The 25789-nt window shown below is 39.2% G+C and overlaps 1 protein-coding gene across 4 annotated transcripts in view; it reads right to left on the reverse strand.

Moving 5' to 3' along the window:
• The window catches only part of TAFA4 (TAFA chemokine like family member 4), a 200782-nt gene that overhangs the window by 17386 nt on the left and 157607 nt on the right, over window positions 1–25789 (reverse strand). For all 4 annotated transcript variants that reach the window (XM_011533372.2, NM_001005527.3, XM_011533371.2 and 1 more), the window contains exon 4: window positions 3712–3867. In XM_011533372.2, the coding sequence (XP_011531674.1) occupies window positions 3712–3867 (156 nt within the window). The remainder of the gene's footprint in view (window positions 1–3711; window positions 3868–25789) is intronic.

Raw genomic sequence — 25789 nt, forward strand, 5'->3', positions numbered from 1 at the left:
GGGAGGTTTCGTAAGTTAATTATGATAAAAAAGTTTGGCAGAAGGGGAACAGCTAATTATTTTCCCTGTTTATATAATATAATCTATGGTTTTATAGAAAAGCAATGAAAACACTAGATAATTATCTGTGGTGTGGATTAACAGAAATGCAAAAGGATATTCCAGTTTCTATGTCGGCATTAATTAGTGCCCCATGCCAACATCTTCTTGCCTTTGTTTTAATTTAAATGTAAATTCAGGTAAATTTTATATTTTAGATCCTTTCTATTCTTATTGACAGATAAGAGGAACATATCAGCAGAGAATAGGTCTTCTCACATTCCAATTAGGGCATGATACTGCATAATTATTATGGGATAAAGATTAAGCAGGTAAAGCTAAAAAGCCCTAATGGAAACATATTCAGATAAGGAAGAGATCAAAGAGAGATGAAATCAGACATACATCCCAACCAAAGCTTAAACTTCCTACACTTCTCAGTGACTTTGATCCAATAAACATTTATTGAACACCGACTGTTTGCCAGACAATGTTAGGTATAGGAGACACAAGTTGAAAGACACAATCTCACCTTTCAGGGTACTGGCACTCTCTGACCACAAATGTTACACTCAAGTTACATGTTTACATCAAGCATAACCTGCACTTTCCAATGTGAAGCTTTAAGCCACAAGTCCCTATTAAATCTAAATTTACACTAGCCACATTTCAAATGCTCCATAGCCACGGGTGGCTAATGGCTACTAGCCACACTGGACATATATATCATCACATATAGATATCTATCTACACAGGTTATGTCCATAAATATATAGAGAGGGAACATGTGCATCATCACAGAACATTTTAGTAGACAGCACTGCATAGACTCTGCTCAGATGCTCCAGGACTGGTCCGTATCACTGATCCTGTGACACTAGGGAAACCATTTAGTTAACCTGAGAGTCTGTTTGTTTTGCCATAAACACAATCAAAATGTCCATCAATAAAGGAATGGTGGCCAGGTGTAATGGCTCACACCTGTAATCCCCACACTTTGGGAGGCAGAGGTAGGAGGATTGCTTGAGCCCAGCAGTTCAAGGCAGCAGTGAGTTATGATCATGCCACTGCACTCCAACCTAGATGACAGAGCAAGACCCTATCATTATTTTTAAAAGGGAAGACGAATGGCTAAATAATTATGGCCTATCCATACATGGAATGCTATGGAGCAATTGAAAACACCCAGTTAGATCAATATGTACCAGCACACAAAGATTTCTGCAACCTAATACTGATAGGAATAAAGCAGGATGCGTGAAATATCCAATGTGATAGCATTTGTGTAAAACACACACTCATATTGAAATCTACCACTGTTTTCTACAAACCTATCTCCAAATACACAGATATACAGAAAAATATATTGACCAAACAGATAAATGCAGTTACTTCTAGGGTGGTGGCCAAAGGGGATTTGCCCATACATACAATTTAAAACAAGATAGTTTGCGGTAAGGTATTCACATTTTCTTTACTAAGATAAAGATACTAATAGTCATCACTGCCCTATCAGTACTTTTTAGGTACCAATAAAAGTGCTTTGAATATTGTACAACATTATTCTGGGTTAGACAATATAAAAAGAGTTTGTTAGAAGACATTTAAGGCCTACAGAGGCAAGCAAACATATTGTCTGTAGAGAGCAATCTGTGATTAGCAAAGTCCATTCTCCACTGTACTAAAAGTTGTTTGTGGGCCAGCCAATGGGGAAAGATGAAAGTAAGAGACCACATCCCCATCCACAAGCTGTTTACATACTAACTGGAAGGCATACGTTTTTACAATAACATGGGATGAATGTCATGAACTGGAAATCCAGGGTGTTGCAAGAACTTACAAGAGATTTGAAAGGAGAATAAGAAGAATTAAGCAGACCAGGTGTGTCTCATGGGGAGGAGGGCAATGATTCAGGCAAGGGATATAAATTAGTAATGTGCAGAAATGAAAAGAAATGGGAAGAACTCTGGATTGCCTAGGGTAGAGTACTTGAAAGAGAACTGAGACACAGATCTTGCAGGGCTCGGCAAGCCATGGTAAAGAACTCCTGGAGTTTATCTTAAAGAGAGTGGGAAGCCACTAAAGTGTGGTTTTCAGTATGGGAGTGACATAATCCATTCTGTTTGTGTAGATCATTCTGGGTAGAGGACTGAAAGCGGAAGGAGAGGTGTGGCACACTCAGCAAGATCTAAGGGTGGCCCCTAGACTGTGGACGTAGCAGTGGGGATGGAGAAAAGTGGGCTGATTTGAGAGACAGCCAGCAGAAAGAATGGTTGTGATGTGATTTGGATTCAATTAATAGAGATGATAAATACATTAGACTTCCCCAGCTGGAGATATACAGACTCAGCATATTTCTTTTAAATGCCATTTTTTAAATGTTAAAGATCTTCATCTTTTTTTAATAGGTTGACAATCCTTTATCAATAATCCCCAAATCCAAAAAGCTTTGGAAATTGAAAGGTTTTCTGTAAGATGACAGCAAAACCTGACTTGAATTAACATGAAGTTCTTTATCCAGCCTTATCCCATGCTGCATGAATATTCATACATTTCACTGCAGATATAGTAATATTTCTATGATTATGGGGTGCAAGTGGAGAGTACAGTAGGTCTGTAAGGTAATAGATGGTATATTTACTATGTTACCCACATAAAATATGAGCAAAGTCTGAATTCAGCAACACATTTGGCCCCCAAAGTTTCTGATAAAGAACTGTAGGTGGAAAATTTCCACTTTCACTTTCCTGTTTTAAAGGTGGCTCAGATGGTGCTGATGTATACCACTGTAACCACAGAGCCCATATAGTTGTGTATGTCTATATGTGTGTTTGGTAGGGGGAATGGGATGCAGGTAAATCAGCCGTTCTTGTTCACTGTGCAATATGATCTGGAGTTAAGAATGTGTGTGTGTTTTAACTGCTGACCTTTAGACATGCATCAAATGAGACAGGAAATGTTCATTTTCAGGGAGGTTTCGTGACACTGCAGAGCAACTGCTACAGGACTAACCCCATGTATTTGTTCCCCTGGGGACTGACACTTGTTTCTAACACGGCGTCTGCTGGAAGAAGCCAGGGGTATCAAAAGAAATCAATCCCAGGCCTCCACCTACAACCATCAACATTCATATATATTTTTTAACTATTGGCACAGCACTCTGCTAGGGGATTTGGAGATTACAAATGAACGATACATGATTCCAAACTATTCCCAGGGAAGTTGTTCCAAAGAGACTGTCCTATAAATGTCTGTTAAAATGATAAACTAGAAATAAAAGACAGGATACTAACATATAACACCAAGCATGAAGTGAGAAAGTCATGCTGCTAATTTTGAGTAGAGAGCATAAGAGGAAGGAGAACAGGGCATCAGAGGAAACAATTGCTTTGGTGAGTGAGATTTGGAGACAGGTGGGTAAAAGGAATTGAAGCACATCTTCCCAACTGCCCTATAATATAACTCCCCATTGGTACCCCTTGTGGGACATTATTGAAGGCATATCTTACCATCAAGACATTTTTGGAGTTGTATTTATGTACATTTTTGGATTGACACTGATCTCAAAGCAACCCTAGGTTTCTTTGGGTTGCAAAGACAGTAAAGTAGGGAAATTCCTGGTGGGTTTTGGCCTTTTTGAAATACCAGAGATGCTGACCAGAGAGGTCTTACCTTCAACACAAGAAGGTTGAGCCCGAGTTGTGCCCGCCACCTGTCCCGGGAAGCAAGAGCACTTGACCGTTTGTGACCGCTCTTCTATGCGGTTCTTATTGCAGCACCTGTGCACGGCGACCACCTCACAGGTCCCTTGCTTGATTTGGTGGTGACCTAGTTGGTAATGGGGGAGAAAAACAAACCCAGTGCTGTTAGAAGGAAATGACACCACCAAAACCAAAATGATGCTATGATGACATTTTCCAACTTCCTGTGCTATGCTTATGAGTCTTTGTAACATTTTATTTTGATAACATATTATTTCAAATTTATATAAAGGTGGTGAGAAGAGTGCAAAAAGCTTCTGTGAACCTGTGGTAGGCAGAAATGAGGCCTCCAGGATCCTCAACCCCTGGGGTCACACTCATGGTTATGACACATTAATTACATGATAAAAGAGAGTTTGCAGATGTGACTGAGATTGATAGAGTTTTTTTTTTTTTTTTTTTGAGAGAGAATCTCACTCTGTCACTGAGATTGGAGTGCAGTGGCACGATCTCAGCTCATTGCAACCTCTACCTCCTGGATTCAAGCGATTTTCCTGCCTCAGCCTCCCGAGTAACTGGGATTACAGGTGTGTGCCACCATGCCCAGGTAATTTTTATATTTTTAGTAGAGACAGGGTTTCACAATGTTGGCCAAACTGGTCTCGAACTCCTGACCTCAAGTGATCTGCCTGCCTCAGCCTCCCAAAGTGCTGGGATTATAGGTGTGAGCCACCGTCACTGGCCAACTGGTTGATTTTAAGAGAGGCAGTGTAGCCTGGATTATCCAGGTCAGGCCATTCAGGGCTCAAATGAGCCCTGAAAAGCAGACAGATGAAGAGCTCCAGGTGCCATTGCTGGCTTGAAGATGGAGGGGCCACATGTCAAGGAAATGGAGATCTCAGTCCTACAACCTCAAGAACTGCCAATAACCAGAGTGAGCCTGGATGCTGATTCTTCCCCAGAGCCTCCCCATAAAGGAATGCAGTCTGCTGCTACCTTGAATTTAACCCAATGGTGAGACGCTGAGCAGAGAATCCAGCCAGGCAGTGCTAGACTTCTGACCTGCAGAAACATGGGGCTAAATGTGTGGTACTTTGTTATTAGTTGGCAATTGCTGTTGTAACAGACTTCACCCAGGTTCACCAGTTAATATGTGGCCCCATTTGCTTTATCATTCACTCTCTCATGTTTTTCTAAGCCATTTGAGAGTAAATTTCAGACATGATGCCCCTTTACCCCTAACTACTTCACTGTGTATTTTCTAAAAACAAAGACATAAGGTTACATAATGATTAAAGATAGAAAATCTGACATGATACAATGCTACTACGTAATGTACAATCTATATTCAAATTTTGCCAATGTCCCAATAATGCCTTTTATAGCTATTTTCCCCCTGATCAGAATCCAACCAAGGTGCATGCATTGCATTCTGTTGTCACATTTCATTAGCCTCCTTTATTCAGAAACTCCTCCTCAGTCTTTCTTTCTTGACCTTGACATTTTTCAAGAGTTACATGCCAATTATTTTGCAGAATGTCCCTCAGCTTGGATTTGTGTGATGCTTCCTCTTGATTAGATTCAAGCAATGCATTTTTAGCAGATTGTCCCAGAAGTGATTCTATATTCTCAGTGCATCATATCAGGAAACACCCAATGTCCTTTCATCCCATTATCAGTGCTACTACCTTTAATTAAATGGTTAGGATGGTATCTGTCAGGCTTCTCCATTGTAAAGGTATTATTTTTCCCTTTATATTAGTAAGCATTTTGAGGGAGATATATTAGTGAGACTATGAATATATCCCATTCTTTATCAAACTGTCACCTACTAGTTTTAGTACCCATTGATGATTTCCACCTGAATCAATTATCAATATGATAGTTGTAAAACTGATTCTATGTTAATGTTCAAATCGTCCCATATCTGGGGAGGAGGAGACCCTTCAAATTGTCCCAGATCTAGGCAGGAGGAGCTGTGTCATATTCTCATCATTCTCTGAGAACTTACTAACCTTCTGACCCTCAAGATGTTCCAGACTTACCTGGTATTTTCCCTGCCCCCGTAATTTCTTCAAGAATCCTTGATGACTTTTTGTGGGGCATCCGACTTAGAAACCCGAATCTCAATGTGTAGGTTTACTCATCACAACTAGGGAGTGATTCAGGCCCTTTCAGCAAATAGGTCAAGGAAGTATGTGCGCAGGTACATCGACATCTCCGATTCCAATCTAGCACCACAGTTTCTTGCTACTCTCCCAACAACTCTCTATTTATATCTCCCATCACCAACCACCTGAATTCCATCATCCTGTGATAAAGTAGTTTCTGTATTGCACATGTACTTAAGGGTAATTTACATTGGAATCCATTTATCAGGAGTCTTTTGTTAGAACAACAGAAACTGATTTGAGCTAACTTAATGCAAAGAAACTTTACTGGAAGATCAGGAGTTTGTAGAACAAAGAGTGAATGTAGCTAACCATAAGTGGAACTACTCTCATGGCTCGACCTGAGTGAGTAATTCCACTCTGAACCTGCCATTCTGCTCCATGTGTCAGTTCTAGGAAAGGGTGCATCTGACTGGCATGGCTTAGGTCACATGTCAACTGTGGCTGCCACCCTCTAAGATGCTCCCCTGTCATCCCCACCACCAAGTATTCACACGTTTGTGCAGCCCCTTCCCACATGGCACCAGGGTTGGTCTATATGACCAAAAGCATGCAGCAGATGTGCTGGTTTGTCAAGTCCAAAATTAGGTGGCTGTCATCTCCAGGCCCTCAGATCACTCACTCAGGGGAAACCCTGGCATGAGCAGCCCTACAGCCAGGCCCAGGTGGTAAGAAACTGAAGTGTCCTGACAATAGCCGAGTCAGTAAACTTGCAAACAGACTCCTTGTGCAGGCCCCTCCCACATTAAACCAGAGTTGGTCTGTGTGACAACAGCATACCACAGCAGAAGTGATGGTTTGCCATGTACATGATTAGGTGATAAGACAATGGCACGCTCACTCACATGTTCATCATCTGTCCTGGGGAAACCATGTTGTGAGCAGCCCTATGCAGAGGACTACATAGCCAGGAGCTACAGTCTACTGCCATTGGTCACATGGATAAGTGTGGAAGTGGATCCTACAGCCCCAGCCAACAGCATAACTACACTCTCATGGGAAATCCTGAGCCAGAACCACCCAGCTAAGCCACTCCCAGATTGCTGGTGTGCAGAAGCTGTGTGTGAGATAATAATGTCTGTTGATTGTTTTAGGTTTCCAAGATTTGGGGTAATTTGTTACACAGCAGTGGATAACTAATACACCAACTCTGGCTATACCCAGCTGGGGAGACTTACCTTTGCTCTGATAAAAATAACATAAACGAGACTGTAGAGGTTCTGTTCAGAAATTATTAAGGAAAGACAACTTTTTCAAGTACCCTCAAGTGTGTTCATGATTTTCAGATACATCCATTTACATATAAATTGTTGTGTGAATTGTAAGCAATTTCATCTACTCATTAAAAGAGGTTTCCCTGAGGATTCCCACTGGTTAATGCTTTGCTTGGTTTCTGTTGGTGTATGTGTTTCAAAATAAAACCAATTTAAAAATATTCCATGATTCAGACTTTTGATCCATAAAGACAGGCTTTCCAAACAATAACCTCGATATTATTCTGAATGTTTTCTGGACCATCCCTGTCATGCCATCTTCAACGTCGATGGCAAGAAAATTCAATTACTGGTGAGAACAAATGCTAAGGCGAAGTTTCATTTGTAAAATGCACAGACAGAACCAGTACCCAGAGAATCAAACTACCAGCAAGAGAGAAAGTTTTCAATCTACTACTTAAGAAAGCATGAATATGGAGAAGTGATTTAAATGATAAACCTAATTAAATGTTCATAACAAGAGCGTTGATTTCCCATAGGTAGTTGTATACAATTGTAAAATTAAATAAATAGTAATTATAATGTCAGTAAAGTAGTATGAAACTTTAGCACTGAGTGAGCAGAAAAGTAAGGGCTGGGAAAGGTTGGAGGGGAGATCCTGTCTTTGGTTTCCAAATGCAAATCAGCAACTTTCAGTCAAACATTCCCTGACAGCTAATGACTAGCCATGAGCAGGGGCCAGGATGATCCTTTCACAGTTACCTCTCAGGAAATGTCCTCCCATTGGTCATTGTCTCAGTCTGCTTGGGCTGCCATAACAAAATACCATAGACATAGACTGGGTGGCTTAAACAACAGAAAGGTATTTTCTCACAGCTCTGGAGACAGAGTCCAAACTTAAGATGTCAGCCTGTTCAATTCTTGGTGAGCGCTCTCCTCCTGGCTTGCAGTCACCTTCTTGCTGTGTCCTCACATGGAGGACAGAACAAACTCTGGTGTCTCTTCCCCTTTTTATAAGGACATCAGTCCTGTCAGATTAAGGCCATGCCCTTAAATGACCTCATTTACTCTTTATCACCACCTCACAGGCCCTCTCTCCAAATATAATCACATTTGGGGTTAGGACTTCAGCATATGAATTTTGAGAGGATACATTCAGTCCATAACAAACCATCATGCCTTGGTTAGATTACTAAATGACCCTTGAGAGTCTGTAATGAAAGCAGCTTTAAACCCCACTAAGAAAATGAAAAATATATGTGTCAGCAACTTCTTGGAGCAGTCAAGAAATGATCTGGATGTTCAGTAATGCTATGATTTACTTAGAACTCTGTTGCTATATAACCATCCACAAGTACAAATGGATTATTTTCCATTCAAACTTAGAACTGGGCCACAGTGCCCTGAATTATCAGGTTGCCTGATCCAGAATTTTAATTATTTATACAGCACCAACTCTTGTATTTCACTGATTTTAAGATACATATTTTTTTCACCTTCTAACACATCAGGAGGTGACATAACTAATAGCACCTTACAATTATAATTGACACTGCTTTTCCTTCTTAGGAATACACATTATAGTGTTGTATCTCACAACTGATGGCATCTTAGATTTGATAAAATATAGGTTTTAGGTACTGTTTGAATTTTTTTTTTGTTACAAATATCCTGTGCAATCTTATAAAAATGCTATGGGGTAGGTACTGTTTTTTACTCCGATTTTATCTTTAAGAAAATGTACAGAAATTAACTAATTCACCCAGGGCCTCATAACTAGAGATTGAGAAGAGGTGAGATTCAAACCATAAGATGAAGGAAAGGTTCCCCTCTTGCTTTATAGCTTGTATTTTACCAAGTAGAGCCTAAAATGGCATCTCCACCTCAGCAAGTCATGGGACATAGCTCAGTTTCCCACTGACAACATCTTTTTCAATTTGATGACAGTGTTTGTGTGATTCCATACAGTCTTTTTAGAAATTTGTGTATTGGTGACAGTGGACAACTGATGTGGTTTGACTGTGTCCCCACCCAAATCTCATCTTGAATCGAAGCTCCCACGATTCCCACGTGTCATGGGAGGGACCTGATGGGAGGTAATTGACTCATGGGCACATGTCTTTCCCATGCTGTTCTTGTGATAGTGAATAAGTCTCATGAGATCTGATGGTTTTATAAAGGGGAGTTCCCCTGCACACACTCTTGCCTGCTGCCACGTTAAGACGTGACTTTGCTCCTCCTTCGCCTTCTGCCATGATTGTGAGGCCTCCCCAGCCTTGTGGAACTGTGAGTCCATTAAACCTCTTTTCCTTTATAAATTACCTAGTTTCCTTCATAAATTACCATGTCTTTATTAGCAGCATAAAAATGAACAAATACAACTATGATCTTTGAATAAGGATATATTTTTATTTCTTTGTAATTTCCTGGCACAGGAGGTAGGTACTCGGCAACAGGTACTTAAAGGTGCTCAAAGCCTGATGGCAGAAAATAAGGATCCAGTGTGAATGGCGCATAGAAATTGCTGCTTATAATTGTTTCAGCAGCTCGTGTTATAACATTGTATTAGTTAAGGTTCTCCAGAGAAATAGGACCAACTGGATGTATACATGGAGAAAAAGAGAAGTATTTTAAGGAATTGTCCCATGCAATTATGGTAGTAGGCAAGTCCTAAGATCTGCAGTCTGCAAGATGGGGACTCAGGAGAGCCATTTGTCTAGTTTCAGTCCAAGTCCAAAGGCCTGAGAACCAGGAGAGCCAATGGTGTCATTCCCATCTGAAGGTCAGCAGTCTTAAGGCCCAGCAAAAGCCAGTGTTTCAGTTCAGGTCTGAAGGCAGGAAAAGACTTATATCCCAGCTCAAAGGCAGTCAGGCAGGAAGAATTCTCTCTTACTCAGGGGTAGAGCAGCCTTTTTATTCTATTCAGGTCCTCAGCAGATTGGATGAGGCCCACCTACATTTGAAAGGGCCATCTGTTTTACTCAATCCATTGATTCAAATGTTAATCTCATCCAGAAACATCCTCCCAGATACACTGGGAATAATTTTTACCAAGTATCTGGGTACCTCATGGCCCAGTCAAGATAACACAGAAAAGTAACCATCACAGATGTCTTACAACCATGTATGACATACAGTATTGTAGGATGGGAGAAAAATGAAAGCTGAAATGCAAGAAACTAGCAGCTCTTGTTATAAACTTACTTACTTCTCTAAAAAGGTACAGGGGGGATGCCTTGTTCAATAAGCCTGGTACCAGAGAGTGGCCACTTCAAGTAAATTCACTTAAAACAAAGATGAATTTTTCCTCTAAAACAGCAGGGGAACATAATGGTGTGGCGATCCATCTTGAAAACTGAAGCTAAATATTGAGAACATAACATGAGGCCCCTGCAATAAGTGAGAAGTTGCAGATGAAACTTCTCATATGGAGTTTACTTTAAGTTTTGAAGTGTGAATTGGAGCAGGCAAGACTGCGTTATCCAGAAATGGGGCTGCTCCTAGGAGGGAAACTGGACAAAGCAAAAAACAAAACACTGTCCCCTTCATGCTGTTAATCCTTTCAGTGGCTAAGCTACTTCCCTTCTGGCTTTGTCTGGGTGGGCAGATGGGGGGTAGATGGGTAGGTACTAATTTCTATTTATTTTACCAACTCTTACGTACAGCATACTATGTGCCAGAGACTGTTCTTGGTGCTCTTTGAGACATATTTTTTAAGTGGGGAAACTTGAAACTGTTACTCGATTCCTTTCCACACTTCTGAAATTGCAATCGGGTTGCATATTTTCTGTTCAAAAAAGAAGACTTAAAATACTGGCAGGGCTGTAACATGTGAGATGCCTGTTTCCTCATTCACCAGAATAGTTGATGTAGACACCATTAAAAGTGTTATGATAATCCTTACAACAAAAATTGATTGCTTCAGGACTGCTATAGAGGATGGATTAACTTTATCTGAAGAATAAATAGCTTAAATACATATCATTTTTTTCTTATTAAATATACTTTTAAGAAAAGTTTCAAACAATAGAAAAAATACCCATTTGTCCCAGTGCAGACAGGGCTTTTCTATTGTGAAAGGGACAAAATACAAAACCACATCTGCAATAGAAGTTCTTCAGCTGAAACTACTTGAAAGCTAATAGAGACACAGAAAGCATCAGATTAGGGAGACTTTCTTTATGCTATTATTTCCCTTGCATCCTTCTCCTTTTGTTGAAATCCTTTTTCCCCTTCCTCCTCCTGCCCAGCACTAGAAAATACACCCTCAAAGAGAAGTCTCACACTCCACTGATCTTCTTAGAAGGCATCTGTTTGATTTGAGTGTGGTTTTCTGTATGGCATTTTCAGCCTATCTCTCCACGGGAGCAGAATAGAGGAAAGAGAAGGCTAAATACAAGATTTCATGAAATGAAAGCAGAAAATGAGGCCACAGATAGTGGCTTCCCTTGGCGAACATGCCCAGTATTCCTAGTTGCAGTTCTCTAGTAATTCTCAACTTTCTTCTCCTATCCCTATCCCAACTTGGCTTTTAATCAAGGAAGACATCGCAGTGTAGAAGACGATAGTAGCCATTTGATGGACAAACTTGGTAGTTTAGTTGTGAAGACAAATATCCACTGAGGCCTTACTATGTGCCAGGGCCTCTGCCAGGTGGTGAGGATAGGACAGTAGAAGAGAGAGACCCCTGTGGTCTCAAAAAGTAGAGATGCCAAATGGAATTATCTGACTGTTCTCCTAAGATGGAAGTGGATTTATCGTTACCTGCTGGTAACAAAAGACAGGGTATTGAACTTAAGAGTCAAAAGAACTGAGCTGGAATACTAGCTTCCAGACTTAGGTAATTTGATTAAGCCTCTCAGTCTTGCATTTCGCATGTGTAAGTAGTACATGACAATTATGAAGTTTAAATAAAGTGCTTAAAGAACACAGTGAACTACTTGAAACACTGCAGATACTGAATAAATGCCTTTTGGCTTTTATTACATATTTATTCAATAATTATTTGCTAAATATTTACTCTTTGACAAGCACATGCTAATATAACACTGAAAAAAATGAGCAAAAAAAAAAATCATCTTCCTTGAAGATCTTTCATATTTTAGTGACAGGAAAAACACAAAGCAAGAAAGGTGCAATTTAAAATAGGAAGAGCCTAAGAAACTAACATTTGAGTACTGAGTGAGACATTAAAGCTGTTGAAAAGATAAAAGCCTTGCAAAATCTGAGGGGAAATGCCCTTGTGACTAGAGCTGTGTCAGAGCAGAAACAATAAGGAGATGATGCCAGAAAGATAATGAAAGGTGTGTGGGTGATTACATGGGCCCCATGGATCATTATAGAGGCTTGGGCTTTTACTCAAAGTGGGCTGAGAAGCCACTGGATATTTTGAGCTTATAATGACTTAATGTGACATATATTTTAAAAGATTCTACTGTGATCAGAGCAGATTAAAGAGGGGCAAGGATGGAAGAAGCAGAGACACCAGCTCCTGCCACAGTAATCCCTGGAAAGCTGGTGGTGGCTTGGACCAATGTGGTAGCAGTGGAGGTAGGAAGAAGAGGTTGGATTCTGGAAGTAGAGGCTTCTAGATGTGGAGATTCTGGATGTTAAGAGGCTAACTCCAAAGTTTCGGGTTTGAACAAGAATGGAGTCGTCCCTTAAATAAACCAGAGAAAACAAGGAGCTTGGTTGTTAAATTTCATGTCTTAAATAGACAGGTAACTGAGAGAAGTCCAGATATTTAAGTCTGGAGTTCAAGAGAGAAATCTGGCTTTAGGAAAGACATTTGCTCATTATTGGCGTATGTATCTAGTATTAAAGCCATGAGACTAGATAAAATCCCAGAGGGAAAAACTGTAGCTAGAGGATAAAGAAAAAGATTACCTCTATGTTAAGAGCTGGGAAAGCCATTGGTGGCCTTAATTTAAAAAAAAAAAAATGTAGCAGAAGAATGGAGGTAAATCTTGATTGGAATGGGTTGGAGAGAGAGCAGAACTGAGAAATTGTAGACAATAACTATAATGACTATTTGAGAAATGGTGTTATCAAGGCAAGGAGAGAAATGAGAATGCCACCAATAGGATAGACAGATGTTAGCCGGGATTTTTAAGATGTGGGAAATTACAACATATGTGTATGCTATGGGGGAAAATCTCATAGAGATGTCTGAATAGGTAGAAGGAAATGGGTAGAGCATCAAAGGAAAGGCTTTATAGGAGCATAGATGGCTCATTTACAGTCTTCCTCTCCCCAGTTTTTGATACAGCCGATGGTCTATTTGCAGGGTATGGTTTTTGCTATGCACTTCTTAAATTCATCAGAATAAAGTATGCCTTGCCCACATAAAACTAGTCCCCACTCAACACCAGGTGCTGTCCTGTTAAGTCTGTCTATCTCTCAGTGACTGTCTAAAATATCCTATGATGCAAATATTACAAAAGATGAAGAATCTCATGAAGTCAATAAAAGTGATGTTGGGGCCGGGCACAGTGGCTCACGCCTGTAATCTCAGCACTGTGGGAGACTGAGGCAGGCAGATCACTTGAGGCCAGGGATTCAAGACAAGCCTAGCCAACATGGCAAAACCCGTCCCTGCTAAAATTATGAAAATTAGCCGGGTGTGGTGGCACATGCCTGAAATCCCAGCTACTCAGGTGGCTAAGGCATGAGAGTCACTTCAACCCAGGAGGTGGAGGTTGCAGGGAGCTGAGATCATGCCACTGCACTCCTGCCTGGGCAACAGAGCGAGACTCCTTTTTTTCCTTTTTCTTTTTGAGACACAGTGATGTTTGAGAGCTGCTTGAACACCATTCATAGCTATTAACTGAGAATTTGGCAGATTTAGGTCAACAATTGAAGATGAGAAAGTCAACTGAAATATTCAAAAGAGAGTGATTTAAGTAGCAAAGGCCTAAAGAGAGACCTTTAGGAAAATTGGTGAAGCTCTTGAATGCTTTTGTGAACATCCATGATCATGTGGCAAAAGGCAATTGTAAAATGGAGGATGATATATTAGACTATATTACATTATTTCCCCTGAAAAGCCATGTAGCAAAATCCAGTCTAAGAATTATATCCCAGCTCTCTTTCCCTTTTCCACTCAGAGCCTTCTTCCTACACCAAAAAGATATAATGTATTTCCTAACTTTAATATATTTCAAGGAAAATTTATCATCTGCTTGGAACACTCTGTCTTTGTGAGATTAACTATTATTGTTCGATTCTAATAGATATTACAAGAAAAGTTATTCAATGGGTCAAAAATCAACACAAAAAAATACTATATTCTAACCAACATTCCTCAGTCGCTTACCTTACTTTTTAAGATATCTAAAAACCTCCCAAGCTCATCACTTCTAATAAGTCTTAAAATTTGTCTTCCCTTACTACTCAAAACACTACCTTTTCTAAGGACTTTCCTTTTGTCAGTTTTCTTAATCAGAAGTCTACTATCTGTTTACCACTTTTTTTCTAATAATATCATAGATTTGAAGGTTCATAATATCTCAAGATGATAAACACCATGGAATAAATGCTCTGAGGGGATCTCATCATTAGGTAAACCTTGGTCTTTAGTATGTATGACAGACTACACACACACACACACACACACACATAAGTATGCATACACTGAACTAGAAATAGCTCCCTAAGAGTTAGTTGATTTAAATAAATAACATATACTTTCAAATGTTATACTGAGATACAACTTACTTCTTAGTGAACCTAATCCACTTATATTTTGTAAATATTCCATCAAACTGTGTTATGAACGGTACTGAATTTGTCCCCTACAAATTCATATGTTGAAACTCTAGCCCTCAGTAGGATTGTATTTGGAGATAGAGCTTTAGTGGGGTAATTAAGGTTAAATAGGTCATAAAGGTGGGGTCCTAATCTGATAGCACAAGTGTCCTCAGGGGAAGAGACATCAGAGAGCTCATTCTTCCCCATACCCCCACAGAGAAAGAGGCTATGTGAAAACATAGCAAAAAGACAACCGTCTGCAAGCTAGGAAGAGAGCCCCCACCAGAAACTGAATTGCCAGAGGTCCAAGATCAACAACTTCTTGAAGTTGTCAGACTTCTAGCCTCTAGAACTATAACAAAATAAATTTATTTTGTTTAAGCTGTCCAGACTGTGGTATTTGTAGAAGCCCCCACTGACTAATACACTGTCACTTAGTAATTATAACTTCATAGGCTGAAAAAAGGTGAAATGATTCGTATTAGGGAGTATCACAGTGGAAAAATAATTGAGCAAAACAAATCACTCGTGTTTCTGAAGAGTCTCTCTCTGTGTGCTTATATATGTAGTAAATTGGCTTTTTAGCCTAATTCATTTTCGATCACTGGGAAATATCATGACTCTCATCCCTGTTGCAATGGACTGTACTGGGCACTCCAGTTCCTGTTTGTCTGGCTCTGGTTTTACTATTGCCTAGTGCTTGTAAAGGTTTCAAACTCAGCAGGGCCACTAGTGGAGAGGAAATCAAATGAAGTGGCTCCCCATGCTCAGTCCATCACAATGAGTACCTTGCTTCTGAGAGAGCATAGTTGCAAAGACACAGAAAAGAATGCAAAAAACTCTCCATTTGGAGGCAGTTGACAAGCAGGGCACTGACACTGCCCTTCACTGACATCCTCCCTCTACCCTAATCATCCCCCTTTCCCAGCATCCCTGAAAAAGCAGAGTGACAGCCAAGTGTGTGGTTAACCAAAAGACAAAGAAGCCAGAAGGAGCAGTGAAATTGCTTGGGTTCAGTTTCAAAGAACTGTTAAAAAAAACTATATATATCATATTTAGAATAAAGCCAAATGGAGAGTTAGAAGATAAAAATAAACAAAAGGACTTGTTTTAGTCCTTATAAGTCCTTTTCAATATGTGCATTTGTGATTTCAGCAACATTTCATCCACAGTTGGATAGATTTCTTATTTGTTCTTCTACTAAATTTGTATGCAGGACCATCTCGTGAACAAAACTAAATAAATCTCTGTATGTATAATGTAGAAATTGGTGATAAGTTTCTACTTGTACATTTTAAATATAAAAAGTATATTTGTATTGTTAACATCTTCCCTTAGGAAATTTTGTTCTATTTTAGCCCTAAGTAAAATAGGCTCCAGCAATAAGCTGCATTTTTTTTTATCATAACCTAAACAATATTTTAGGTGTTAAACTCTCTTACAAATGCTATTTTTGTTTACACACTATATATGTCATTAAGTATCTAAGTCCAGAATTAAAATATGAGAATGCTACTCTCATGTGGCACCATGAATCTCTCTTTAATAGCACTTAGCAGTACCAGATTTCAATTGATTTTTAAATTTCTAATTCTAATTAAAGATGGCAGAGTAACCGCCTGTGTGTATCTTCTCTCTTTCCTAAGACCCCACTAAAACCAAAGAAAAGGAAAACATAAGATCTGAACTCAGAAGAGCAAAGTACAGAAGTGGACACATCAGCTGTTGACAGACATTTAATAGCCTTTTGGAGGATGGAAAGCAGGTGGATTAGGAGTGACTGACTGAGACAGGCAGAAGTGGATACCGAGGGGAAGAGATTCAGTATCCCCTCACTTTAAAGGACCTCAATAGGTGCTTCAATGCATGGGGCTGACAGCAAGAGGCTAAGCTGACCATCAGTGTACTCAAAAATAAGTCCATTAGTCACCATTCCCATCCATATTCAGAGAGTCCATGCTTCCATAAAAAAGGTACAATGCTGGGAGAAAGTCTCCAATATGAAAGAGACCAAAATAAATAAACAGAAAAGATAGAACTAGAGAATGGAGAAACAATGACAAGGAACAGAAAAGCACCTAAACATACCAATAATAGTAGTACTACTCAAAAAGGAGAGAAAGAGAAGGAGAAAGAGATAATGATTAGCACTTACAATATGCCAGGTACCTAAAGTTTATATGTACTTCCTCATGAGTTTTATATATGTGAGATCAAATAGAGAATGAATACACTCACCTGCACACATAAACACACATATATAATCTCATTAAGTCTTTGATAATAGGGACAGTAAGGGAACAAGACAAAGTTTCATAAGGTCATCGTCAAATACTCTTAAAAAAAAATACCACACATCAAATCCAGGTAATAAGGATCCTCAAACAATGCTGTTAACCTTTCTGCTATGATACTTCTCAGAGAGACATATGTACAGATAATACAAATGCTATGATAAAAAAATCAATCAGACAATAATACAAAAGCATTCTTAAATTTTTTAATAGCTAAAATCAATTTTTCCTAAAAAAAAAACTCAGAAAATTCCAAAAGCAAAGATAAAGAGATGAAAATTATGAAAGCAAACAGAAAATACTTAGAGAAACAATCCAGATGTCCCCGAATCCTATTTCAGAGATAAAGAACAACTACAAAAAGCAGAGTAAAGATACCACCAAAGAAAGAATACATATCCAAGATCAGAAAGACTTGAATTCAGTTAGTGCCCAGAAACACGGGATGAAGAGCAGACCTACACCAAGGTGTTTCCTCATGGAATTCAAATTTTTTGGGATAACAAAAAGAAAATTGTGAGAGCTTTGAAAAGCCAAGGGAAACAAATATTAACATGTGGAAAAACAAATAAAACAATTTTATTATACTTATCAAAAGTAACACTGTATGCTAAAAACCAATGGACTCATGCTTTTAAAAGTCTGAAAAAGATTTCCACACCCAACAAAACTATCAATAAAGCATGAGACTTAGCAAATATATCAGATCCTGCCTAAAAACGTTTATTTTTTTGTTTTGAATATTTTATTTATTTCAATAGCTTTTGGAGTACAAATGGTTTTTGGTTACATGGATGAATTGTATAGTGGTGAAGTCTAAGATTTTAGTGCACCTGTCACCCAAGTACTGTACTCAAAACTTTTATTTTCATTAACACAATTATTTAATAATTTACCAGAGGATATGCTATAGCAAAATAAAAGGGTAGAGTTAGAGAGAGATATGGGGCCCAGGAATCAAGGAATCCAATTCAAAAGAGTGGCGAAAGGAAGCCCCAGACTCAGTTTTTCAACTAGCCAGTAGAGAAGAGAAAGCCGGAATAGAAAAGAAAGCCAGAATGGAAATGATCTCGGGAACAATAGGAAATTTCATAAAATGCATAAGCTACAAACATTTACACATGCAAATAAAGCAGTTAGAAACAGAAAAACTATCCAAGAAAGGAAACACTATATATTAACAAGAGGTTATAAGTAAAATCTAAAGTTGATGTATCAATAAATTGCAATGTATATATATTGATTAGAAATATGGTGTTAATATATAATATATAAAAAGAGAGCAGTAATTGCAACTGAACAGTGGAATTTGGGACACAGAAAGATGAGGGAGTTAATTTTTCAAATATATACCAGCATAATTTTGATAAATCTGATTATATATTTCAAAATCTAACCAGACAGATGATTTTCAAGCCATAGTATCTTACATTCATAGGTAAGTCCTTATATGTATACATACAAATATATATATATATTTCCACATATCACACATACATATGTGCACACACATATATGCATACATGTACAAGAATTGATTCCTTTGCATTTGATAAATATTTCTAAAAATCTATAAATTTTCTATCCTTAGTACTTTTTTTCCTATACTGCTAAGGTTATTTTCAGGTTAAAAAAAAAATCAAATCTTTATTTGCTACATTTTTCAGATTTGCTTAAGCAGCCAAACACCCACATGCACACACAACTTGTTATAAGAATACTGACTAACAATTGTTAAAACCTCCAAAATATAAGATCCCCAAAGCACAGGCAAGAAAAGCAAAAATAGATAAATAGGATTACATCTAAAAAGGGCTTCTATGTAACAAAGGAAACAATCAGAGTGAAGAGATGACCGCAGAATGGGAGAAAATATTTGCAAACCATACATCTGATAAGGGGTAAGATCCAGAATATATAAGAAACTCAACTCAATAGTAAAAAAGGCAAATAATCCATTGAAAAATGGGCAAAAGACCTAAATAGACATTTCTCAAAAGATGACATACAAATGGCCAACAGGTATATGAAAAAATGCTCAACATCACTGATCATCAGGGAAATGAAAGCCACAATGAGACATCACCTCACTCCAGTTAGAATGCCTATTATCAAAAAGACAAAAAATAACAAATGCATGGATGTGGAGAAAATGGAGTGGTTATACACTGTCAGTGGGAATGCAAACTAGTACAGCCATTATGGAAACCAGTATGGAGGTTCCTCAAAAAATTAAAAATAGAAGACTATCTCATGTTCCAGCAATCTCACTACCTGGTATGTATCCAAAAGAAATAAAATCATATGCCAAAAAAAATAGCTGCAGTGTTTACTGCAATAGCATGAAGAATCAAGATATGAAATCAACCTAAGTGTCCATCAGTGGATGAATGGGTAAATAAAATATCGTATATATACACAATGGCATACTATCGGGTCATTTAAAAAAGTAAAATCCTGTCATTGGTGACAACATGGACGAATCTGGAAGACATTATGTTAAATGAAATAAACCAGGCACAGAAAGACAAACCTTGCATGATCTGACTCATATGTGCAATCTAACCATGCTGAACCCATAACAGTAGAACAGTGGGAACCAGAGCTAAGAATAGGAGAGGGGAGAAGGAGATGGGGAAGAGATTCGTCAATGGCTACAAAGTTACAGTTAGAGACGAGGAATAAATTCTGGTGTTCCATTGCAGGGGTCCCCAACCTCCTCCGAGCCATAAACAGGTACCAGTTTGTGGCCTGTTAGGAACTGGGCTGCACAGCAGAAGGTAAGTGGCAGACAAGTGCTTCATCTGTATTTACAGCTGCTCCCCATTGCTTGCATTACTGCCTGAGCACTGCCTCCTGTAAACTGCACATGGGAGGGATCTAGGTTGCACGCTCCTTATGAGAATCTAATGCCTGATGATCTGTCACTGTCTCCAATCACTCCCACATGGGACCAGCTAGTTGCTGGAAAACAAGCTCAGGGCTCTCACTGATTCTACCTTATGGTGAGTTATATAATTATTTCATTATACAGTACAATGTAATAATAATAGAAATAAAGTGCACAATAAATGTAATGTGCTTCAGGCATTCCCCAAACCATCCTCCCATCCCAGTGCATGGAAAAATCAAGTTTGATTAAACCAGTCCCTGGTGCCAAAAAGGTTGGGGACCACTGTTCTACTGCACAGTAGGGTGACTATGATTAACAGTAGTGTATATTTCAAAATACCTGGAAGAAAAGATTTTGAGCATTTTTACTACAAGGAAATAATAAATGCATGAGGTGGTGGATACGCTACCATACCCAGATTTGATTTTTACACAATGCATACATGTATCGAAACATCACACTATACCCCATAAATATGTACAATTATTGTGTGTTAGTAAAAACCAAAAAATTCCCAAAAACAAATGCAGAAATCCCACCGAGTAGCATCCTCATAATATTTAATTAATTAACAATCTTTTCTTGCACACCATCTCTTAGGCTGTAAGCTCTATAAGGGCAGGGAACACAACTCCTTTATTTGTGGATGGATCCCTGTAGTAAACAATCAGTAAATTCTTTTCGAATTCAGGAATTAATCTTTTTAATCCTCTTTTTCATACATGGCTTACACTAACACAGAAAACAACTGCCGTGTAAAAGCTCTATCAATGGCCACAGAACTGCCAGAGGTACCTTACTATCATGAAACTCCAGGAAAAATATCCCTGCATAGGACTATGCCCAACCTCCAAGCCAGTCAGGAAATCAGATCCATGAAAAAAAAATATATCTAAATATAATCCCATCCAAAAGCTAAATTTGTTACATCCCAGATTTTGGGTTGTGGGTTCATTTTTGTTTTCTGTTTGTTTTTAATACAATTCTTGGGAAAAACACTTTGTCAAAAATATCTCCCTCCTAAAAACATGACTGCTTTAGGAATGATGCCAAAATTGGGTCAGTTGTAGGGGTTATGCATCTTACATGCTGTTATAAGGGTAGAAAAGTTTGTGACAGCTCAGGACAGGTTGATGATAGCATGTTCTGAAATGCCCAGAAAGAGTCTAGCAGGAAATACCATTGCTGATAACAGTGATTATCTGTGAGGAATGAGACTGAGGAGAAAATTTCTGAAATAAGCAAAGGCTGGTTTTATAAAAATAAAAGCAATTATAAAAATGGAAATAAAGCAGAAGCTCTCTTAACCAGTGCTCTAAAACACCAGTTTTCAAACTAGGGTATGTGAACCCCTAGAAATATACAAGGAATTTCCAAGGGATAGATCCACAGACAGTTTTTAAGGAATCAATCTCCAGATTATCCTTCATACATTTTTAAAAATTGGGATGATGATGGAGGCACATGCCGGCTCTCAAGACCCACCTCACCTTCTCCCACTTTATAAAGAAAATATTTTTTTGTGCAACCCATCTCTTACTGATACAGGAAGAGGGCAGGGAAGTGCCAGGTAGAGAAGGGTGGGGTCCCGGCGAGGGCTCCACCCTCGGGCCTGTGCCCATGGACCTAAATGAAGACAGGCATTTCTGTTTTTGTGCCCAAAAAGTTGCCTTTTGGCCTGCCATACTCCCATCCTGTTCCCGTAAAAGCCTGAGCTCTAGAGGGCACACACACAAGCGGCTGGACATCAAGAGGAGCAGGACACACCAGCAGACACCGGCAGACCAACAACAGCAGAACGACTCGGACACCAAGGGGAGTTTGGCTGGGGGCGGTTGAAGAAGAGTCCAGCCCCTGGGTGGCCTGTGTCCAGGGAAAAATCACCTTCTCACTCCATCCCCCTTCTGACTCCCCATCCATCTCACTGAGAGCTACCTCCACCACTCAATAAAACCTTGCACTCATCCTCCAAGCCCACGTGTGACCTGATTTTTCTGGTACACTAGGGCAAGAACCCCGGGATACAGAAAGCCCTCTGTCCTTGTGATAAGGCAGAATGTGTAATTGAGCTGGTTAACACAAGCTGCCTGCAGACAGAAAAGTTGAAAGAACATACTGTAACACACATCCACTGGGGCTTCGGGAATCGCAGACATGACACCCCTAGACACTGCCATGGGACTGGAGCCCAAAAAGTGCTCCCCATGGCCTCTGTATCTGCCCATCTGCATGCTCCCCTTTGGGGTTTGAGCAGCGGGGCACTGAAAATATGAGCCACACCCTGTCGCACTTCCTGCGAGGGGGATAAGGGAACACTCCCATCTCATTACTATGGAACTAGGAGTAAACATTTCCAGATTAAAACCCAACAAAAAAAGTTTAAAAATTCGTATTATCAAAAGTACCACCCCTCCAAATTTATTTCATTAAAAGATGAAATTCCAGTAAAATTTTACTAATGCAGAAGAAGTTTAGATGTCAACTTAAAATGTGCAAACAGATTCAGAGGTGTGAAGACCACTAACCACACAACGCCTTTCTAGAATATTCTAACAGAATGCCACAGCATAATGAATGCTCTCACATACGAAGAGCAAGAGGTGAGCTTCATATTCACCAAAATTGTGTGTTACCAAACCTGCTTACATCATTTGTAGTAGCTGGAATTATGCAACCTAATTGAGTATTGTGTAACCAAGAGAATTGCTTCTTCAAAAACAAATCCAAATGCTTGGTAAGACTCAAAAGCAAATTGTAAAAAAAATGCAACCAAATGAGGAATGGGCAAAATAAGTATAAAAGGGAGGGATGAAGATTTTTTTTTTAATTCTGTAAGGCTTCACAAGTGTCTAAGGCCTACACCTCATTTTAACCAGAAAACTTGAAATTCAGGGATGACATAAAATAGATGAGCTTTATGGAAGCAAGACCATATGGAATTCAGATTTTCAATCCACGTTCAACGAAGAGCCTTGATCATCCATCAGATGATTGGTAAATGAGTTCATTTATGGGTATTAAGTTCAAATAAAATATTAAGGCATGTGTGACGGTTAATTTCAGGTGTCAACTGGATATTAAGGAATACTTAAAAAGTTGGTAAATTATTACTTCTGGGTGTTTCTGTGAGGACATTTCCAGAGGGACCTGGCATGTGAGTCAGTGGACTGAGTAGGGAAGAGCCATCATTAAGGTGGGTGAGTGCCATCCAATTAGCTGGAGGCCCAGATAGAACAAAAAGGCAAAAGAAAGGTGAATTCTCTCCCTCACTCTCCTGGATCTGGGACACTCATCTTCTCCTGCCTATAGACATCAGAACTCCAGGCTCTCTGGTCTTTGGACTCTGGGGACTTAACACTAGCAGCCTTCAGCCTTGGACTGAGAGTTACACCATTGGCTTCCCTGGTTCCAAGGCATAGCTTCACGTTGGGGCAGGCCATCAGAAAGACCAAGCACAGGATTAGAGGGTTGGAACTTCCAGTGCCTGGATGGGTAGAGGGAGGGGAGCTGGACTTGGACTGAGGCATGCTACCAGCATCCCAGGGTTTCCAGCTTGCAGACTGCCTGTCATTTCTTAGCCTCCATCATCACATGAGCCAGTTCCCCTAATAATCCCCTCTCATCCATCCATCCATCCGTCAATCCATCCATCCATCCATCCATTCACTCATCCTATTGGTTCTGTCTCTCTGGAGAACTCTGAATAACACTGCATGTTTCATCTTTTTAAAACAATAATTCCTTCTCCAAATGACTTTTTCTGTTAATCAGACAACTAATGATCTCAATCATCTATATGAGAGAGCATCTATTAAAATTAAAAGTCATGATTAACTCCAGCTCAGTCATTCTCAAAAAGGTCCCCTATAATAGGGAATATTATAAGCAGCCGGAATTATGCAACCTAATTGAATATTGTGCAAATATTCAAGACTGACCCCACTTTAGATGTCAGGCCATCTGCACTTCTGACCAACTTGACTACAAATTCAGGGGTTCCCACAAGTCCCTCAGCTTTGATAATTCACTAGAATGACTCATCGAACTCAGCAAAGCTCTATATGTATAGTTTCCATTTTATTATAAAAGATACACATCAGGCAAGGTCTGGAAGGGTCCTCGATGTGGAGTGTCCATACCCTCTCCCCTTGGATTCAGGGTACAACACCCTCCTGAAACATCAATGTGTTCACCAATCAGGAAGTTCCACCAAGCTTTGGTGTCCAAAGTTTTTATCAGGATTTCAATACTTAGGCATGATTGATTATATCACTGGCCATGTGACTAAACCCAATCTCCAGCTCCCCTCCTCTACCCATGCAGACACTGGAAGTTCCATCCCTCTAATCCTGTGCTTGGTCTTTCTGATGACCTGCCCCCACCTGAAGCTATGTAAGGATATGACTCACTGAGTCACCTCAGTAGCATATCAAAGACACTCCTATCACTCAGCAAATTCCAAGGGTTTTCAAAGCTGTGTCCCAGGAACCAGACACATTATTTATTATGCCACATCAGGTAAATTAAAATGGTGGAATGGTGACAATTTAGTTAAATTTCTAATAAAATTTTCGTTTGACAGATGAAGATTAAGAGCAGAGGCACTTAAGAAGACATGAGAAGGACAGGGAAACAAGGAATAATGTGCGATGAAAACAGCAATAAAAAAAACTTATAGCAAGCGTGAGACTTACTCAAGCAGTAACCAACAGCCTAAGATCAGAACCGTATTGTCAACATGTTTGTCCAAAGAGTAGTTTTCATTCAGAAACAAAGCCTCTGGAGCGAGAGACCAAACAGAAATGGACCTTCCTTCTTCATCCAGGAGATGAACTACAGCAGTCAAGCTAGGCCTGGGGGTAGACATTAGAGAGGCTAACAATAAAAATAGGGATCTTCTCCCAAGCTCCAGTCCTAGGAGAGGTGGCAATACTTGGAAAGGTAGCCTCTGGAAGTAGTTTACTCCTGGAAATACCTGCTAAGATCAATAGCAATAAAAACCTGGAATTTATAAACAAGGCCAAATGTTTATAGTATAATGTTAATACTACTGAATTATTTCATTCTGCTGCAAGCATTAGATAGATGGAAATTACCCCATACTTCTGTAAGAGACTACATTTTATTGACTATTTAATACACATTATCTCCTTTGAAATGGCTCTTGAACCGGAGGGAAAGAAAGATAAGACCATGAATACAGAGGCACTGCTTGTGGAAAGGAAAATTCTCTCCACACTCTCTAGTCTCAAGCAACATCAGAAAGAAAACCAAGAAATACAATTAAATGGAATATCAGTAAATGTTGAGCATTCCACCTGAATCTTGCCTTTTACTTTTTAATAGCACATATGAGAGAAGCAGTAGAGCAAAGATCAATTAATCAACAAATGGTATTGGGTCAACTAGTAGCCACTTGGAAAGAAATAAATTTGAATTTATATAAAATGCTATATATCAAAATACACTCCAGGTGAATCAAGAATTTTAATGTAAAATAATAAACTGTAAATGCACTATGAGAAAACATGAGAGATCCTCTTTTCATTCTTTCATTTAGTAGTAAGAAAGCCCTTTCTAATCAAAACATGAAATCAGAGGCATAGGGGAAGAAAACTATAAGTGACTCTGTGAAAAGGAAATTGTGTAGCTAAAATTTATAAAAATAAAAATAAAGTCAAAACATAGGAGGAGGCTCTATACTTGTTCTCGGGATATTAAAAAGCTG

This window comes from Homo sapiens, chromosome 3 (assembly GCF_000001405.40).
Source record: "Homo sapiens chromosome 3, GRCh38.p14 Primary Assembly".
Taxonomy (NCBI): Eukaryota; Metazoa; Chordata; class Mammalia; order Primates; family Hominidae; genus Homo; species Homo sapiens.